The sequence below is a fragment of the Homo sapiens genome, chromosome 6 (assembly GCF_000001405.40).
Source record: "Homo sapiens chromosome 6, GRCh38.p14 Primary Assembly".
NCBI classification, from domain to species: Eukaryota; Metazoa; Chordata; class Mammalia; order Primates; family Hominidae; genus Homo; species Homo sapiens.
In genome coordinates this window covers 39,421,552-39,442,356 of record NC_000006.12, presented here as the reverse complement: position 1 = coordinate 39,442,356, position 20,805 = coordinate 39,421,552, and the positions used below count along the sequence as shown (strand labels likewise).

The 20,805-nt window shown below is 44.5% G+C and overlaps 1 protein-coding gene across 11 annotated transcripts in view; it reads left to right on the top strand.

Annotated features, from left to right (window-relative positions):
* Positions 1-20,805, top strand: part of KIF6 (kinesin family member 6) — a 395,419-nt gene that overhangs the window by 283,052 nt on the left and 91,562 nt on the right. For 7 of the 11 annotated variants that reach the window (NM_001289020.3, NM_145027.6, NM_001289021.3 and 4 more), the window contains one exon: positions 11,196-11,304. The exons of 1 other annotated variant lie outside the window; for it this stretch is intronic. In NM_001289020.3, the coding sequence (NP_001275949.1) occupies positions 11,196-11,304 (109 nt within the window). Of the gene's footprint in view, positions 1-10,966; positions 11,305-20,805 lie in introns of those variants that run through there. 3 more of the 11 variants (NM_001289024.3, NM_001351566.2, XM_047418331.1) reach the window with 2 other exon arrangements.

Below are 20,805 nucleotides of genomic sequence, written 5' to 3'. Positions count from 1 at the left end.
GTTTAGATGTCTTTTGTTATTGCTGGCAATCAGAAGCTACCCCAGAGCAGCTGCCATTTTTTCAGAGGCTCCAGGCCTGTCCACTCCTTTGGCAAGCCAGCCCTTTCCTCACCTGCTCAAGGGAAAGTCCAGGAGGCAGCCGCAGCAGGTGGGTGAATCAGATGCAGTTACCAAGACAAAAGGAAAACACAACCTGCCTTGAGCACTGCCCCCTTTATTCCACCCAGCCCGCGTGGTCTGCACTGCTGGGCCAGTGTGGGTTGCCCGTGGGATGTGTGATTTCTGGCATCAGGAGTCAGGAACCCATTTGATTTATTTAGATGTGGTGCCACCATTGGGTGGGTCTCCTAAGGTTTATGTGGCTTTCCACTTCAGATTTTCCCTTCGCTCTCCTCCCTAGAGCTCCTGCCAAGCCTACCATGCTTCAGCCTGGTCCAAGCCAGCCCTCAGAACCTACTAATTAAAGGTTCCTTTGACATCTTTCATGTGGCTACTTAAGAAACTCTAAGGCAAGTCCTAATCTGAGGACTTTAGCCCAGGTGATATTATCTGAGTTGAACATAGCCCTTTAACCTCAAAGCCTTGGGGCACTAGCCCATTCCAGAAATTGTCAATCGAGAGGAGGAAGTAGGTTGAGTGAGTGTCCTTGGTCACCCCAAAAGATCTGATCTCTGGTCTTCACATCTGCAGTCACTTTGGCCGTGGCTTTTTTTCTTCCCCTCATCCTCAGATTTCATACCCTGCGGTACCAGCGCAGCAACCCCTCAAATTGTAGCTGGGCTACACCAGGCCCTTTAAAGTCAGCAGAACCGTGACAGATGGCTCTGCTTACTGTGGTGACCTCCATCACCCTGGAGGTGGAGGAACATGAATGGAGGGCTCCTCAGTGATACACACATGCTAGGGCATGATGCTGCTCTCCAGGGGAGACCATCTGCACAGTAGTTCCTAAAGCGATGGGACCAGGTGGCACCGGCATGATGACAGTAACAGTAAATGATGACATTTGCTATTATCAAATGGCAGTTGTCATTTAATTGGTTAGTAATCTGGAAGCCACCTATTAAAGGAAGAGCTTCTATGCCAGGGATGATTGACTGGCAGAGGCTGCTGAAAAACTGTGCTGAGAACTCTAATGCTATGATTAGTTTCCCAGGAAAGATGCTGAGATTGATCAGCGATGTCTTCTAGGGGTATGAAGAGTGAAAGCGGTAACATAGGGTCTGCATATTCAACATCCTTGTCTTTCATGCACCTTTCAAAAACTCCTCCTTCCTAAATCACAAGCATCCTTGTGGGAGGAAGGTAAAGACACTATCTCCACTGTTCCATCTAATCTTTCTTGGAGATGGCTCATTTCTCTTATAAGATCTGTTATAGCCCCCAACCCCATTCCATGCATGTATTCAGTCCAGTGTCAGTGCATCCTTGGCTCTCCATCGTCAAAGCTGCTGGCTTGTCCTGCACCTGGGTTTCTGGCTGAAGCCACCATTTCCTCTCTATGCCCCTGGAGACATCCAGCACCACTCCCAAGAGTGTGGGCTCACTGACCTTCCCCCTGACCTTCCTATCCCTCTTGACCTTTATATTTCATGCTACAGCTCGATAGATTATCCCTTCCTCAGCTCTGCCTTGTCTCTCTTCTAAATCCTTATTTCCTTTTCCTCCCATCAACCCGTTCATTCTACCTTCTCCACACACTCAGGGACCTCAGTTCTCTCCAACTAAAGAAGAGAGGGGAGAGAAGACCAACAGGGGACGATGAACAGTGAGGGGGTGCTGGATTCCAAGGAGACAGGGGTTTGGAACACACTGAAATGGAATTCTCTTCTAATTATTTAGGTGACGATATTTTTGTCTATTTCACCCAAGTCAACACTTACCAAGAAATTTCACTTCAGATAGAAGGTTATTTCAGGCACCATACAAAAAACACACTTGATCTCTGCCCATTGCTTCTCATTCTTGTATGCACCTCCAGATTCTACACGTTGTAGGTATTCATCATACTGTGGTATCAGAGCTGTTCCCTTACCTTCAATTTAAAGAGCTTCCACTATTGAGCCACAGAGTATAATCATCCTTCAATACGATTCCCACCGTGAATCATCAGCTTCCTTCCTGCCTTAGCACCACATGCTCCCCACCCAGCTCTGAGCCTTCTCATGCTTTCAGTCCCAAACAGTGTGTTCCAAACCCCCATCTCCTTGGAATCCACCCCCCTTCTCACTGTTCATCGTCCCCTGCTGGTCTTCTTCTCATCCCTCTCTTCTTTAGTCAGAGGGAACCGAGGCCCCACGCGAGTGAATATCTCCCAAGGAAAATATATTTTTGGCTCCGACTAGGAAATCATTTTTCAGCATGAATAACACAACTCTCTCCATCATTGTACTTTTGTCAATTTTTAAGCAATAGCTTAAGCAGCAGTAGGTTGTTTAGGAGCAGCCAGGAAAATAAGCTCTGGCCCATGTACCCCAGACTAAAGGAAATCAGACCGCAGGCCCAAAGGCAATAGCATAAACTCTCCACTTCCGATGTTTTTCCTTTCCATTTGGTTTCCATGGGACCCTGTGTTGGGGATGGGGAGGGCTTCCCAAAGTACCAAGTTGTATTCGTTAGCAAAATAAGGAACTGAATTTCAGGTTGAAAAAAAAAGAAAGCATTAAGAAGTGGGTAAGGGACCAGCGCACAAGAATTTGGATGCCTAATGTTTCAGAAACCCAACCCTGAGGCTGATGTTGAAAGCCCCTTGTTGACTACCATTTCTACCTATGTGCTCTTTGACCACTATCAAAGTTCAGAAGAGATTACACCTTTGGGACTTGCAAATATTTTCCATCCAACTTACAACCGAAATTGCAATGTCGTCTTTTGGAGAATGAGACTCAGAAATTCCTCTCTTTTAGGTTTTAAATGGTTCTGTAACTCAGCAAGCCAGCAGGCTTCTCTTAATCATTCATATTTCAGGGATCCAGCGCTGGGAACCTGTGATTAAAATTCACTAAAAGCAAACAACTAAGAAATGAGCTCTAGAAATGAGCATGGCAAGTTCCCAAGGTCCTCAGCTCTGTTGAGGAGCTGAGTCTGACAGACTAAACAAAGTTGGGAAGAAGATAAAATGTATGTCTTTGCAGTACCTCTTAGCTAATTGTCAATAAATTGTGGAATTTTTCTTTGCTAGCACTGAAATAATGATACCTTCAAGAGTATAGTCTTGTGTCACTTAACAACTGAGATACATTTTGAGAAATGCGTCATAAGGTGACTTCATCATTTTGTGAACATCATAGTGTGTACTTAAAGAAACCTAGATAGTATAGACTACTACACACCTAGGCTAGATGGGATAAACTAATGCTCCTCAGCTACAAACCTGTACAGCATGTTACTGTACTGAATACTGTAGGCAATTGTAACACAATGGTAAGCATTTGTGTGTCTATACATAGAAATAGTACAGTAACAATGCAGTATAAAAATAAAAACACCTGTACAGGGCAGTTACCATGAATGGAACTTGAAGGACGGAGTTGGTTTGGGTGAGCCAGTGAGTGGTGAGTGAGTGTGAAGGCCTAGAACATTACTGTACACTATGTGTATTTTATAAACACTGTACACTTAAGCTACACTAAATTCATTTTTACTAATATTTCAATAATAAATTAACCTTAGCTTACTGTAACTTTTTATCTTATAAGCCTAATTTTTTTAACTTTTTAATTCTGTAATAACACTTAGCTTAAAACACACATTATACAGCTGTACAAAAATATTTTTTTCTTTATATCTTTATTCTATCAGCTTTTCCCTATTTTAAAAATTTTTCATTTTTTTTAAGCTTTTAGACTTTTTTGTTAAAAATGAAGACACAGTGTCAGGACCTTCAGTGTCACTGTCTTCCACCTCCACACCTTGTCCCACTGGAAGGTCTTCAGGGGCAGTAACACACATGGAGCTCTCATCTCCTATGATAACAATGCCTTCTTCTGGAATACTTCCTGAAGGACCTGCCCAAGGCTTTTTTACAGTTAACTTATAAGTAGAAGAAGTACACTCTAAAATAATGATAAAAAGTATAGTATAGGCCAGGCGCAGTGGCTCACACCTGTAATCCCAGTACTTTGGGAGGCTGAGGCAGGTGGATCACCTGAGGTCAGGAGTTCGAGACCAGCCTGGTCAACATGGTGAAATCTCATCTCTACTAAAAATACAAAAAGTTAGCCGAGCGTGGTGGCGGACAAATCCCTGTTACTCGGGTGGCTGAGACAGGAGAATCGCTTGAACCCAGGAGGCAGAAGTTGCAGTGAGCCAAGATCAGGCCACTGCACTCCTGCCTGGGCAACAAGAGTGACACTCTGTCTCAAAAATAAATAAATAATTAAATAAATAAATAAAGTATAGTAAATACATAAATCAGTAAAATAGTCATTTATTATCAAGTATTATGTACCGTATATAATTATATACGCAATATTTTTATACAACTGGCATCACAGTAGGTTTATTTACACCAGCATCACCACAAACATGTGACAAATGTGTTGCACTATGACATTATGACAACTATGACACCATATGGGACCACCGTCGTACATGCAGTTCACCATTGATTGAAACGTCTTTATGTGGGGCAGGACTGTAGTTGCATTTTTATAAAAGCTTCTTGGAGTTGGAATTCATCTCTAATGGTGGGCCAGTAAGCATGGTGACATGTACTGGGGAGAAGATGGTGCTGAATTTCTAAAATCATACTATGTAGGAGATGAAACTGTCCAGTAGCATGGTGGCAGAGAGAGAGAGAGCAATGGATACATGCCTCATTTTTCACACCATCACAATATGCTATCCAGAAGGAAAGACGTTAAGCATCTAAAGCACTTTTTCATTCATTCATTCATTCAAAAGATATTTTGTGTGCCAAATATGCTATAGTGCTCTTGTATGCCAAGTACTATCTGGATTCTAGAAATATTGCTGCAAACAAAACTGACAAAAATCCTTGCTTTTATCCAAATTGGAAAAGAGAAAGTCAAACTATCACTGTTTGCCAATGATATGATCTTATACCTAGAAAATCCTAAAGACTTCTCTGAAAGATTGCTAGATTTGATAAATGAATTCAGTAAAGCCTCAGTTTACAAAATAAATGTAGACAAATCAGTAGTTCTGCTTACATCAACAAGGACCAAGCTGAGACTCAAATGAAGAACTCAATCCCTTTTACAATAGCCACAAAAAATATATAAAATACCTAGAAATATATGTAACAAATGAGGTGAAAAATCTCTACAAGGAGAACTACAAAATACTGATGAAAAAAAACATAGATGACACAAACAAATGGAAAAACATCCCATGCTCATGAATCAGAAGAATTAATGTTGTGAAAATGACAATACTGCCTAAAGCAATCTACAGATTCAGTGCAATTCCTATCAAAATACTAATATCACTTTTCACAAAATTAGAAAAAAACTCCTAAAATTAATATGGAACCAAAAAAAGAGCCTGAATAGCCAAAGCAATCCTAAGCAAAAAGAACAAATCTGGAGGAATTACATTACCAGATTTCAAATTACACTACAAAGCTATAATAACCAAAACAGCATGGTACTGATGTAAAAGTAGACACACAGACCAATGGAACAGAATAGAGAATGCAGAAATAAAGCAAATATTTACAACCAACTGATCTTTGACAATGCAGACAAAAACATACACTGGGGAAAGGACACTATATTTAATAAATGGTACTTGGAAAATTGGATAGCCACATGTAGAAGAATAAAATTGGATCCCTATGTCTCACCATATACAAAGATTAACTCAAGATGGATTAAAGACTTAAATCTAAGACTTGAAGCCATAAAAATTCCAGAAAAAAAAAACCTAGGAAAAACTCTTCTGAACATTGGACTAGGCAAAGAATTCTTGACTAAGACCCTAAAAGCAAATGCAACAAAAACAAAAGTAAATAAGTGGGACCTAATTAAACTAAAAAGCTTCTGCACAGAAAAATAAATAATCAACAGAGTAAACAGACAACCTACAGAATGAAAGAAAATATTTGCAAACTATGCTTCTGACAAAGCAGTAATATCCAGAATCTACAAAGAACTCAAGCCAATCCGCAAGAAAAAAAACAAATAATCCTATTAAAAAGTGGGAAAATGACATGAAGAGACATCTCTCAAAAAAAGATATAAAAATGGCCAGCAAACATGCAAAAATGCTCAACATCATTAATTATCAGGGAAATGCAAATTAAAACCACGATGAAATACCATCTTACCCCAGCCAGAAAGGCCATTAATAAAATGTCAAAAAACAATAGATGTTCGCACAGATGTGGTAAAAAGGGAATGCTTATACTCTGCTAGTGGAACTGTAAATTAATATAATTTCTATGGAAAACGCTATGAAAATTTCTCAAAGAACTAAACGTAAATCTACCACTTGATCCAGCAATCCCACTACTGAGTATCTCCCCAAAGGAAAACAAGTCATTATATAAAAAAGACACCTGGATGCATATGTTTATCACAGCGCAATTTACAATTGCAAAGATACGAAATCAACACAAGTGTCCATGAACTGATGAATGGATAAAGAAAATGTGGTGTGGATTACTGCTCAGCCATAAAGAACAAAATAATGTCTTTTGCAGCATCTTGGATGAAACTGGAGGCCATTATCCTAAGTAAAGTAACTCGAGAACAGAAAACAAAATACCACATATTCTCACTTATAAGTGGGAGCTAAGCTATGGGTATGCAAATTTGTACAGAGTGGTATAATAGATATTGGAGCTCAAATGGGGGAGGTTTGGGGGGTGAGGGATGAAAAACTACCTATTGGGTACAATGTACACTATTCAGGTGAGGAGTGCACTAAAATCCTAGACTTCACTGCTGTACAATTCATCCATGTAACCAAAAACCACTTGTACCTCTAAAGCTATTGAAATAAAAAAATTTTTTTAAATACCTGCCCTCATGGAGCTTACAAATTCTAGAAGTAATAATAAAACATATTAACAGATGAAGTAAACTATGCAGGTAGTAAAAAACATATATGGTTCTGTTTTTCTGTGATATTGTAAAAATAAATCAACATTTTAGATAGAGAAGCACTAATAAGAGTACGATCTCATGGGTAAATCTACTATTAATATTACGAGGTCATTTTGAGCCCCACCACCTTGCCCTTTCTGTCAGGCCTACTTTCCCTGGAAAAACTGATCTAAGAGCCGCAATGACTGCCTCTAAAAGCTGGGCATTTTTCACCCCTTTATAATCACTTATTTATGTAAGCCTCAGTTTCCTCATCTATAAAATGAACTTATTTGCGGAGATCATAGAGAAATTTAACTGAAATAATATATAAGAAAGCACATGATACTATCCTTGGTATAGAGTATATAAGAAATTCATTTTTTAATCACCTAGAGATCATTTCTATTGGATGGCAGAGCCACCCATATTAATCAGGTTGCCTTTGTAATCCACACTCCATCTCTGCCCCCTCCACCTGGAAACTTCTTCCATGTCTTCTCTACCTGGGAAATGCTGCTTCATCCTTCAGATCCTTCTAGATGAAGTTCACTTGCTCCCTCCTGCTTGCAGCCTTCTCCCACTCTCGCTGAGAGTCCCTGCCTCCCTCCCTCCCTCTCCCGCATGCTGGACACATACCTCTCTACAGCAAGCAGCAACCTCCATTGTAAATATTTGTTCACTTTTCTTGTTTTTGTTTTGTTTTGTTTTGTTTTTTTGTTTTGTTTTGTTTTGAGATGGAGTCGCACCTTGTCACCCAGGCTGAAGTGCAATGGTGCTATCTCGGCTCACTGCAACCTCTGCCTCCTGGGTTCAAGTGATTCTCCTGCCTCAGCCTCCCAAGTAGCTGGGATTACAGGTGCGTGCTGCCATGCCCAGCTAATTTTTTTTTTTTTTGTATTTTAGTAGAAATGGGTTTCACCATGTTGCCCAGACTGAACCTGAACTCTTGAGCTCAGGTGATCCACCCACCTCAGCCTCCCAAAGTGCTAGGATTACAGTCGTGAGCCATTGCGCCCTGCCATTTTTCATTTTTCTTTCTCCCTTACTGGACTCCAAATTCTTTAAATCAAGAATCAAAGCTTTAATGTTCAACTTTACATCTCTGTCACATGCCTAGCACAATGCCTAATATAAATAAATACTTCTTGAGAGAATAAATAGACGATTGTCTCATTAGCAAGGTGAGCTTTTAATCACTCTTTTTGCTCCTTTGCTCTTTCTCTTTCAAATGCATACAGTGCATGCTCAGGGACGGGAACTGCCATAGGAGAAAGAGCCTGTTTTCTAAATCCTCAGAGGGACAAGGAAGTGATTTCTTCAGTAAATAAAAGCCGTTCATTAACTTTGCAGCTGATCCCAAAATGGGGTGAGAAGTGGTATATTAGTGCAATCCAAAGGAGCTGCGCATGAGCTCTGAACAAGCAGAATGGGGATGGGCAAGGGTAGGGCCAGGCTGGGACCTGGGCTCACACACTGGAGCTGCCCGTGAGTCCTTCCCATGTGCCTCCCTCTGTGGACCTCAGCCTTGCCCCAAGTGGTGGCCTTGAAGTCTCTGCAGGCATCCTGGCCTTGCCTTGCCTCTTTGCCTTCCAGCTATGCTTCAGCCACCTCACCTTGGCCTCCCTGAGTGGACATTTGGGAAAACAGCTGACAAGATAATAGCCATCATTCTGATGGCCTTCACCTGTGGTCACCACAATCAAAGAACTCCAACTCCAGAATACTTTGTCCGTGACAGAAGGAAAACCAAGGTTATGTTCCTGATGATAAGCCCTTGGCACTTCAGGACCCCTAAGTGCCTTTTAAGCCACCAAGAGTATTAAATCCTTCCAGTGTAACTTTCCCATAATGTGTACTTTATTCCATTGTAAGTCTTTGAAAGTTGGCGATGCATGTAGAATATGTTATGCTGCTGGCCCCGAATTTCTTAGTAGGACCTTCAAGACCGTACACAACGATCCCAAACTGCCTGCGCTTGTCTCCTCTGTGCCCTCCACGTCCTTTCTGCTCCCACGGCCCAGGCCCCAGTGCACCTCAGGGAAGGTGTGTTTCATGTTGTTTCGTGTTTTCATATTGTCACTTACTTTTGTGTTGTTCGTTGTTGGGAATATAGTTAGTCCCAATGGTTGCTCAGTGCATTGTAAGTTCTCCCAGGAGTGGCTGCCGCCACAGTGCCGTGGGCTCTGGAGTGGTCCTTTCCACCCAGCTGTCCATTCACAGTCAGCTCTGCAGAAAAAGCAGAGCCTGGGAGGGAAGAGGCTGTGAACCCTTCTTCCCTGCAGCTTAAGCAAGCTTTCACTCCCACCCCACACCCCTTTCACCCACCACCCCCACACCTCTGTTGGTGGAAGGCTGCTCATCAGCTCCCCTGCGGGGGGGAGCAATTTGGAGATCCCCCAAGCAGGCTCCAGTGTGGTCTCTGTGGAGCTTTTCTCTTCCCATCTCCAGTCCAAAGTCTCATGCCCTCTACTGTCTGTTATTATTTTATTATGTAGCAAAAGGCATGCACTGTTAGAACTGGGTGCAGACCCGGACAGGGGAAAGGTATGGAATGAATCCGCTGGCTCCTAATGGGCTCTGCTGGTGAAACGTGCCCCTCAATGTCTCTCATGCATCAGGGATCATCTTTCTGCGTCTCACACAAGCGGATTCCCAGGCCTACCCAATTCTAGAGTGTGCAAGGCAGATGTGGAGACAAAGCTGAGTCGTGCCCATTTGCTTCTGATCAGAAAAGGGTGGGGTGTATTTTTGTGCCTCACCATTTAGACATTCTTCACGGTGCTATTTTTATCAAGAGTAATCATTAAATTGGTGTCAGATGGGCTAGTCCAGTTACTCACCCTTAGGATGGGTGATGGGACTCAGAGAGTTTTTTCCAGGCAAGAGGAGACGTGGTATGTGGCCCATATGAAAGCCTCTGCGGAACCCTTGGCCTCAGAGTGAGCCTCACTAACCCTGGACTGTGTTCCCGCAGCAATAACAGCAAGGCTCAGCACCACCCAGCTTCATTCTCAACCTGATTCATTTAACAGATGTATGCTGAGCACCTTCTAAATGCCAGACTTTGAACAAGACACAAGGATTCACAAAACAAACAAACAAAAAACTATTATCTCTACCCCCTGAGAAACTTACATTTCACCAGAAAGGATTGCCATGTGAAGTGGCAGTGTCCACTGGGCTGTGCATATTATAGGTGTATTGATAAGGAACATGGTGAAAAGAGGGTTTGTTCTGCCTGGGCTTTGACGAAAGCTCCACGGAGGTAGAGTTACTGGAGGAAAACATGAGAAAAGGCCTCCCAGGCAAAGGAACCAAGGGCAGAAGCATTAAAAAAAAAAAAATGGCTCTATAGATGCATCCAAAATCCAGCGGTGAATTCAGCTCTCACTGAGGGGTCCCAGGCATACATCTGCGCTGACCCTCACTCCGGGAGGTGGTGAGGAGGAGAGCCTGGTCCTGGCTGTACTGACCGTGGGTCCCAGAAGTTGAACTCTGAACAGCGCCCAGCAGTGAGGGTTGGCCTTTATTGGCAAAGGCGATACAGGATATTGAAGTTAGAGATGACCTAGGGACCCCTGCCATGGCCAGCTCATGAGTCTTGTAACTGAGGACCTAACTCCTGAAGAAGAGCCGAGACCCCCTCACTAACCACAGGAAACAAGAATGAATTGTTATACAGAGACTAAGAGCAGAATTTTCTAGATGCTATCTTTCAGTTTGGATTATAATTCCTTTAACTAAATGCCTGGAAATTTAACAGAAAAACAAAATAGGGCATACCAGGGAGAAATGTGGCACTGAACGATGGTAAGAAAAGGCATTTGCAGACATCCTCGGCAGTCCAGGGCTTGGCGCTGTGGTTTTCATTTCCCCCGAGCAGGCATTCCAAACCCCGCCCCCCACGAGTCACATGGCTGTGCAGGCACAGTCCTGAGGGGTGCAGCGGGTGGCACTGGAAGGGCCTCCTCAGCAGGTTGTCAGCCAGCTGGAAGAGCCTGGGGCCACCTGTCTGGTCAGAGTCTCTCTGCTGTGGGCCTCTTGGAGCCAGGGCTGGTTTTGTGGTCTGACTGAAGTGACAATGAAATTAATAGGATCCTGATGCTGTGACTGAGGCCATTTCCCTGTGTCTCCAAACAGGAATGAGAGAGGAAATGTCATTAGGATGCCAGGAGGCTTTTGAAATCTTCAAGAGGGACCACGCTGACAGCGTTACCATCGATGACAACAAACAGATTCTGAAACAGAGGTAAGGCTGTCTCAGAGAGCAGCTGGTCCTCCGAGGCTCAGCCAGGCCAGCCTAGAAGAGATTTGCTTACTCTGTCCTTCCTAATCTGCCCAACATAACTATTACAAGAAAAGCATAATGTTTATTCAGTTTCACATTTAATTATGTCCAGCCTGGTACAATTCTCCTTCATGTGTGAGCCTCACCATCCCAGTACTACTGGGGTAAGCAACTTTAGGGCAGGGTCTGTTACTGACAGTATCAACGTGATTTACAATTCTCACATCATACATTCATTCTCATCAGCCTGTACTCTATCCATGTCTTACTGTTGCAAAGGAGGGGGGAAAAAGTCTATGGACCAAATTATATTCTTAGAACTGCAGGCACTCCAGCTGTTCTGGAGAGCAGTCCTGTCTTAGTCAAAGAAAATATGTGCACATCTTGTGACCCAGAAGCCTTTGGTGTCTTCTCCAGGCCAAAATTAGAGCAGGCAGGATTATCTGCTGACATGTTGTCAGATGGGGCTGTGCTCTGGACCCCTTCAAAAGAAGCTTACTTAGAGGTATATAATTTCTTTTAGCTAGTCTGTGAGGTATATGCATATCCTCAAACTGTAGCAAACAAACTCTATCAGATGTAGGGGTCTAGAGCTCAGAAGAAAGGGTGAACTCTCATATGTCACATGAGACTGTGGATCCTAGCACACAGTAAGTTTTCAAGAACTATTTGTTGAATTAAAATGAGATCTGAGTTTGAGAATCATATGACAACTCAGGAAGCCTAAGAAGTAGATGAGCTCTCAGGAGAACATGTGGCAGTGCTGAGGCCTAAAGAGGGGAGCCATAAGGGAAAGGAGTTTGAAGGGAAGGTAGAGAGAAAGGAGGCCATAATGGAGACTGAGAAGAAGCATAAAGAAGAGGGGGCGAACCAGGAGAAAATAATGTCCTGATAGCCAAGTCAAGAGGAGAGCCGGCTCCAAGAAGAAGCAGACTGTCAGTAGTGTCAGATGCGACAGAGAAATAAGCAGGAGGGAACTGGGAAGTGTACAGAGATTTTGCAACTAGAAGGCCATTGGCTGGACTGCCGGGCATGGAGGAGCGAGTGAGAAGAAATGTCATTGCCTTCAAAAAGTTGGTGATAGATGAAAATCATTTTTTTTTTTTGAGACAGAGTCTCACTCTGTTGCCCAGCCTGGAGTGCAGTGGTGTGATCTTGGCTCACTGCAACCTCCACCTCCCGGGTTCAAGCGATTCTCCTGCCTCAGCCTCCCAAGTAGCTGGGACTACAGGCACCCGCCACCACACCTGGCTAATTTTTTGTATTTTTAGTAGAGACGGGGTTTCACTGTGTTAGCCACGATGGTCTCATCTGCTGACCTCGTGTTCCGCCCACCTTGGCCTCCCAAAGTGCTGGGATTACAGGCATGAGCCACTGCGCCTGGCCTAAAAACATTTTTAGAAAGAACAAAGAGAGGTAGCTTAAGTAAAAGGGAAGTTGGTTTCAGGATGGGAAAGAATTGGCTAATATTATAGGCCACAGAATAAGCTAATGGTAAGAGAAAGGTAGAGAAACAACAGGAAAAGCTGACACAGCAAGGCTCCTGGAAGACAGGAAGGTAGGGAATAAAAGCTCAGTGGAGGTTAGCCCTGGAAGGGAGCAAGAATGGAAAAACAAATCAAGATGGGGCTGACATTGGCACACTGAGAAGAAGAGAGAGAAAATTAAAGATGACCTAAGTTTTCTCTGTGAAAAAGAAGTTGAGGTAGAATAAGAGACTTGAGGGTGGTGATGAAGGTTTAATACAGCAGCCACAGGGAATGGGAAAGAAGGTAGACCCGGAAGAAGGAAAAAGAAAGGCAAACGGAAAAGCAAACCGCAATGAGGGTCGAAGGCCCAGCCTAGACTATCATCCTGGCTTTTACACTTTACCAGAAGGCAGATCTCAGCTCATTCAGGAATCCAGTGAAGGGAGTGGGAGTACATGGCTCTGTATATGGACGGCAGTCCAGCCCTTCCTAGTCAAAAGAACTACTTGCTTCCTGCTGTGACCCAGCAGTTCCTCTTCTGGGTCTATTTCCCAAGAAGTTCTCGTGCATGTTTATAAGGGGACATACTCCAGGCTGCTGTGAGCAGCCTTGGCTATTCATGGCCAAGGAGAGTTGGAAACATGCTGAGTATCCATCACTGGGGAAGTAGACAGGTAGAATAATGCCGATGCCCCATGAAGCAGGACGCAGCAGGTGGGAGTCATGGATTAGATGTATGCATACCAATTAACATAGACCTTAAAAGCATAGCACTGAGTAAGATCACATCATTCAGATAAATTACAAATAGATCCACAGAAAGCAAAGAAAAACATGCAAACAAAGATATGCTTTAGCAAAAAAGGTATACTTTATGAGTCCCTGGTATACTTTATGAGTCCCAGATATACTTTAGCATACTTTACCCACAAGAATGGGAGCAGGGCATGGGGATAAAAAGGAATGAATGAATAAACGAATAAAACAAGGGGATAGGGAAGAAAATAAAGTGAATCCAGTGAAGCTGAATACTCTCTCCCTAGAAAGGGGGACATATGCACATCTGCACAAATTTTAGCCTGTAAATCCAAGGGTTTCACAAGCCTTCTAATGCTTATCCATGTTGTAAGACATGAATTTTTAATATGGCTAGTTGGACGTGTTGGGGCAGGATACCTTGTCTGTCTGAAGATAAGCATGTTAAGCTAGCTGTCTCATCCAAAAGACTTCCAAAGAACCTTCAGCCATGTCTATACGAGAGGCTTCTTAGCTTACACCAGGGACTCGTAACTGGCTTCATATTAAAACAACCAACAGAGCTTTTAAAAGCTACCAAAGCCTGGCCCTGACTCCCCAGATATTCTAATTAAATTAGGTGCAACCTGAGCATCTCTTTTTAAAAAGCAGATTCCAGTAGCATGTAGGTTTGAAAACCACTGGCTTAGACAGTGTCCAGAAACCATGAGATCCAGAATCCCTAAGGTAAGATCCCCCAAACACTACAGGTTAGAAAAAAATTACCAAGTGATTCTTACACATGCTCAAATCAAAGAACCACTAACTTAGGGAGAACATAGTACTTCATCTTTCTTATTATAAAGTTGGCATTGTTTCTGGTTCTGGTTTGTAACCTGAGTTTAGGTCTATTTTCAGCAGGGATTTGGGTCGGGGCTGAGTGGGATGAGGATGTTGTGGTCTTCCAAAGCCTTCTAATATAGAGCTCACTTAACTCTGTACAGTAGAGTTCTGACAACCCATGTGACAAATGTGCTTTTGAGTTTAAACATACCTAAGTTATGCAGGATGGGCTGGCAATACCAATGATCCCATCTTCCTTGTGGCCATAGTGCAAGGGAACTAAAACTCACACAACCTTTCCTCTGAAAAGAGGTTTTCCCAGCAGTAAATCAGTCTTTTTAAATCAAATGAAAAGTCAGGAGACCAGCCCATATTTTTTTAAAAATTTCTATATCTGACTAATGTTCCTGTAATACTAACCATTAAAGGACTATTTGGTATAGGGGATGTAACCCAGAACCTACCCCTTTCTTAGGATTGGAGCTCTTATTTGCATTGATGGAGAGTATTGAATTATTAGATATTACATGTTCATAACTGCTTAAGGAAGGGGAATAAGAAAAATGTTCTTGTATGAAAACAAATAACTGCATAAGCAGGGTTTCAACAACAGACATCAAAGGAAGGCTTCACAGATGCTCATAGGGTCACTTCCATGCCACCCTTACTTTAGGAAATGCCCTTCCAGTAACCCGGGCCCCTTCCACACATTTGCTTCCATTCCCTCTAGTGACAGGAAGGACTCATGTGGCCCAACTGTGGGAAGATGGGCAGTTCTGGGAATACAGACACAGACTGGAGGGGGTTGACTTAGGGTGAAATTCAGCGATGGCTTCCTGCCTCATCTCTAAGCCTCAGCTTCCCAATAGACCTCAGCAACCAGGACCCACCAGCCTGGACTCCCATTTCACCCCAGACTTCTCACATCAGACTAATTCTGTGGTCTGACCATGCTGGTGTTGGGACATTATGTTGGCAAAGTGCCACTAAATAGGGGCTGGAACTAATTGCCCCCATGCAAAAGCCTTGAATGAGTTCAGCCTCTCTACCCCATAGCAAGTAGGTTCTAAGCACAAATGTAGGGATTATTGGTGACCCACAATCTCTTCTGACTCTCTCAGCCCTGACCCAGAGTATAAGAATTGATTTAGAGTTGCAGGAGGGGACAGTGAGTGGTTCCCCCATCCCCTTCATTCCATGTTACTTTTTTTTTGAAGAGACAGAGTCTCACTCTGTCGCCTAGGCTGGAGTGCAGTGGTGTGATCATGGCTTACTGCAGCCTCAACCTCCCAGATTCAAGTGATCCTCCTGCCTCAGCCTACCGAGTAGCTGGGACTACAGATGCATGCCATCACGCCTGACTAATTTTACCTTTTGTAGAGATGAGGTCCCTCTGTGTTGCCAAAGGTGGTCTAGAACTCCTGGGCTCAAATGATCCTCCCCCCTCCCTGGGCCTTCCAAAGTACTGGGATTACAGGTGTAAGCCAATGCACTCAGCCCCATGTTACTTAATAGAAAGGTTTTTCTTCCCCTTTTTCCTGCACCCTTTGCTGCTCTCACGGGGAATTTCTAGCATCTCTAAGCTCTGGTCTCCAGTCTGAGGAAGTTGTGCTGCCTGTATGTGACAAGAGAAATAAGATGTTGGCACATGAATAGGATGTTCGCCCTTTGGTGAACTAGAGCATGTGAGCCAATTCTTAAGCCAGATTTTTCAGCAGAGAACAATTGCAATTCACAATCACATTTTCCAGGCATGACTCATCCCTATAGTATACAATAATATGAAGAGAGGCTGGAAACCCCATGCTTGGCAAATACCAGTGCCCAGGCACTGCAAGCTTTCTTTTGTGGCAGATTTTTCATACAAACTGAGTCCATCAGTCTCAGAGTCCCATTCAATAACAAAAGAAGAAATAAATGGGGAGATTAACTGCTATTGGAAATGAAGGTGTTGAAAATGTAAACTAAACAAAGCAAAGCACCCCTTCACTCAGTTGGATCCTTCTAACATAGAATCAAACAGCCATCTAAAACCAACAGGAAAACCGGACCGAGGGTGGAGAGAAACCGTGTGGCACCATCAGGAGGTAACTCCCATGGTGAGGAGGAGTTTCCTGGCTCCCATTAGACTTTCATTTTAACCCTTATGATTTTTCCTTTTTTTTTTTTTTTTGTATTTACATCTTTTCTGCTGAACTAAAATGATAAACTCTGAGAGCAGAGATTAGATTAGAATCTTCTCAGCCTCTCCACAATTTTAAAAGCAGTGCTGGCCACAGGAAAAAAAAAAAAAGGTACTCAAAAAACACTTTTTTTGTTTGTGAATGACAATTTGAAATTGACTTTGAGAAATCTTGGCAGCCAAGAAAATGGCTGGAGAAGACTTTACAGCTTCCGAGAAGTAGGAGGATGCAGCAGGCTTCTGGAGGGTCAGGGGAGGAGCTGATCAACTGGAGGCGGGAGAGGGAGGCCATAGTGGGAGAGATGAAACGGGAAAGGAATACTAGCATTTTTTAAAAAGCATAAGGGGAACAAAGGGTGGATCTTTATTACAATAAAGTGGAGGCAGCCAGGGTACAAGGTACAAGTTTATGGAGGAAAAAAATGGCAAAATATAGGCCCAGTCTTCTGTCCTCCTCTCTGACAGGGAAGGGTATTGGATGTTCACTCTATGAAAAAGCAACATATTAAGTTAGTTGTTCTAGACAAGAAAAGTAGGAAAGATATTGTAGGAACCCTTTGCCCTCAAACACATATTGGCCCACCATTCTCAGAAGGCAATCTCAGCTGGCATGACAGAGCATCTGGTTGCAGAGGCTCTTGGGGACTGAGTGGCTGCTGAACGAACACCAGCCCCTCTCTTTGGCCCATGGGTAAAAGCAGCCACTGCCCATGATCCCTAGTGAATGGTGTGTGGGGCAGAGCCAGCTGCTTCCCCAGTCATGATGAGTATCTCCGCCTGACACACCCCACAGCAGGATGGGATTCTTTCTGGAACTGATCTTGGAAGTTAACGTCAGATTCACCCTCAATTCCTCCATCCTTTTCATTTCCATTGAAAATGAGAAACTCAGCAACCATCTTGAGTGTCCTTGACCATTGACTTGCAGAGATCCTTTCTAATACTTTGGTTTGCTGAGACAAACTATTGTCTGTGGTTACTGCTTCCAACACACATTCCCACTTCACAGTCCATCACATTCCCTACGGGGGGTTCCTACACTGCCAGGCCATGGTCATAATGAATTTATGACACACAAAACATATTTGCATGCATGCTCTTTCCACATCAACCCAGCCCTGACGGCATCTCATTCTAATCCTAGAAATGAAGAGCCTGAGACCCAGTCGCTAAGAGGTGAGGTAGGCATTTGGTCCTACTCTGACTTCCAGTCTAGCGCTCCTCACTTGTGCACGTTGCCTTGGCACACACACTTGCTCACGTGCTTATCTTCTTTTATTCTACAAATATTTATGGAATGCTTACTAGGTGCAAGCCCCTGTTCTAAGCCCCAGAGAAAAGAGTGAATTAAGCAGATGTGGTTGCTGTCCTCATGGAGCTTACCATATTGAAAGGGAAACAAACAAGTAAACAGGCAATTCACATATAGTATGCCATCTGCTTATGATGGCAGAAGTGCAGGGTGCTGGGGAGCACCTGGGGGTGTCATGTATTGTAGACCTGCACAGTCCTGGAATGCTATCCAGAGGAGGAGACATCACTGTGGAAACTAAGGGGTTAGGCAGAAATTAGTCAGAGGAAAAGACAGGCTCCAAGTAAAGGGGACGTCCCCAAGATGAGAGACAGTGTGACACTTGACGAAACTAAGATTCAAGCCTGCCTGGGAATGTTGTGGGGGATGGAAGAGAAGAAGCTGGAGAAGGCAGCAGGAGCCAGAGCGTGAAGAGTCTACTTCGCCCTGTTAGGGAATCCGGACTTTCTCCCGAGGTCACTGGGGAGCACTTGAGGAGTTTTGAGCAGGGGAGTAACAGGACCAGGTTTGCATTAAGAAGAATCACTCAGGCTAAAATGTGGGGACTAGCCTGCGGACAGGCAGTGCGATTGCAGGGGAAGGAGCAAGCAGTGGTTGCAATAATCTGGGAGAGATGGCAGCGTTCTGCTCTCAGGCAGTTGGAGCTAAGTGGAATGCTCTGATAGATATTGAGGATAGAGAATGGCTGAGACTCCAGGATTGAGGGAAGGCGCTAATGGAGAGAGGGGCAAAGGGTGGCGTGCAGGTTACTGACATGAGCCATCCGTAAGTGATGGTGCTGTGCATTGAGACAGGAACAACAGGAAAAACAGGGGAGGTGTTCAGGGCAGATGATTAGTTCTTTTTGGGTACAGTCGATTTTAGTTATCTTCAAGGTATCAAACAGGCTGTTGGATACCTGAGTCAGGAACTAAAGCAGGGCTGAGGTGGAGATTTGAGAGATGACAGTTGAGATAGCCAAGGAGATGCTGGCATAAAGGGAATGCCTACAGGGAGTAGGGAAAATGAGGAGTGGGCCTAGGACAAAATCCTGTGGATTATCAACATTCAAGGAACAGGCTGCAGAACACATCAGCAAAGGAGACTGAGAAGGAGGTGCCAGAGAGAGGGGGAAAAAGACAGAAGAGCCGGGGCCCTTGGAAGCCAATAACAGAGCATTTCCCCAGGGTCTGCAAGTACCTGTCTGGCACACAGTGGGAGCCATAGTTGAGGAGGGCTGGGTGTTACGGGAAGCCAGGCTAGTAGAAGAACAGCAGAGCATCGCATTCCTTCTCCCTTCCAAGCCCAGCCCCTGCCCCTGCACAGGATTTTGTGTGCAGGTGACATGGCAGCCTGCCTGCATCCACACTGGAACTGCACCCAGCTATCTTACACTCCCCAAAGCCAGCCACACAACTAACGACGCCCTAATAGGAATGCTTTGGCACCAATAGAAAGAAACCCTCGGGCGCTCATCAGTGGTCCTGGCTGAGTTACACAACCTTCCTGCCCCTCCTCAAGGTGCAGCCTCATCAGCATAGCAGTGAGCAGCACCTTAGGATATCGTACAGGGGTGCAGCATACCCTTGGCCAAAAGTTGGCTCCCTGAGCCATCTCATGGATGAGGATGCGCCTTTTAGATAATCAGGAGGCAGGAAACTCCCCCTGGTGAAGTTTAGGTGAGCAGAATTCAGACGGAGGGGCAGGAGGAAAGGGAGTAAGTGAGGAGGGAGGGAGACTGGGGCTGGCTGGAGAGGCGTGGAGATGCAGGTGGGCCAGGAAGAACGTGGCAGCACTGATGGGGTCACCCTCTTTCTCGCATCTTTCCTAACCGAGTCCTTAGCCTTCTCATCTCTCCCATCTCCTTTGACACTTGCTCTTTCCCTCTACACACTCAGGGTTGGGCCTTTCAGAGTTCGTCTTGACAACCAGGGATCAGGAACACATGTGGGTGGGGTGGCCTGGAGTGGTGACAACTTCCAGAGTGACGGGAAAATGGTCTCATGAAGACTGCACAGCCCTCAGACCACACCTCTCCAGTGGGAAAGCCCTTTTTAGCTCAGGACTGGGCTGCAACAGAGAAACAGGAACAGCTCGTGGCTTTCCACACAGTTTCTGCCAGCTCTGGAGCAGGGCGGCTCTTTGGAGAGAGTTGACCACAGCACTCAGCGGCTCCCTCTGCCAGGCCCCCCAGACACATCTGGGCACCGCCAAGGCTGGGGGACTCCATCCCAGGCTTGTCAGGGATTCTCTGGGCAGCACTGCGGTGGAAAGTCCTTCTTCTGCTTATGTTGTCTTCCTTTTCTATCTGTACTCTGGTTTCCTCCAGCATTGATGTGAATTTCAGTGTGAATTTCAGCAGTTTTGCACCCTTGCTCTTGTATTTTCCTTATTCCGAAGAGTCTAAAGCTTCCAGAAGCCTATGGAACAGGAAATGGGAGGAGTCACTCGTTGAGCAACGTGTGACTGTCAGATCCTATGAATCCTAGGTACTAGGGATGGACAGAGCAGTGATGAAATGATCATAGGCCCTCCCTTGGCAGAATGGAGAGTTGAAGATGGTCCTCATCTTCCAAATGGCCTGCAGCAAATGTCGCCTTATGCCTGCCCAGCAGCAGAGGCCATATGAGCCCACAGAGCCCAGCACAGTGACCTGTGCATCATGTAAATGTCTGAATTGCATCAAGTGGAACTGTACTTCTCCCTGGAAGGTGACAGGCCGTCGCTGAGGAGAGAACATACATAATCTACGATGAGCCTGAACAGCCTTAATAAGGGAGCCAGGGGCGGAGTCCCAAGAAACTAACATTGAGAAAAACTTTAGTCCCCTTCCCTGGAAACCTCCTGTCCACAGTCCCAGGCCAAGCAGACAGATTTGGAAAATAGCAATGACATAATTCACACTTCTTTTCCATCCAACACAGAGCAGTCGTGGCACTCTG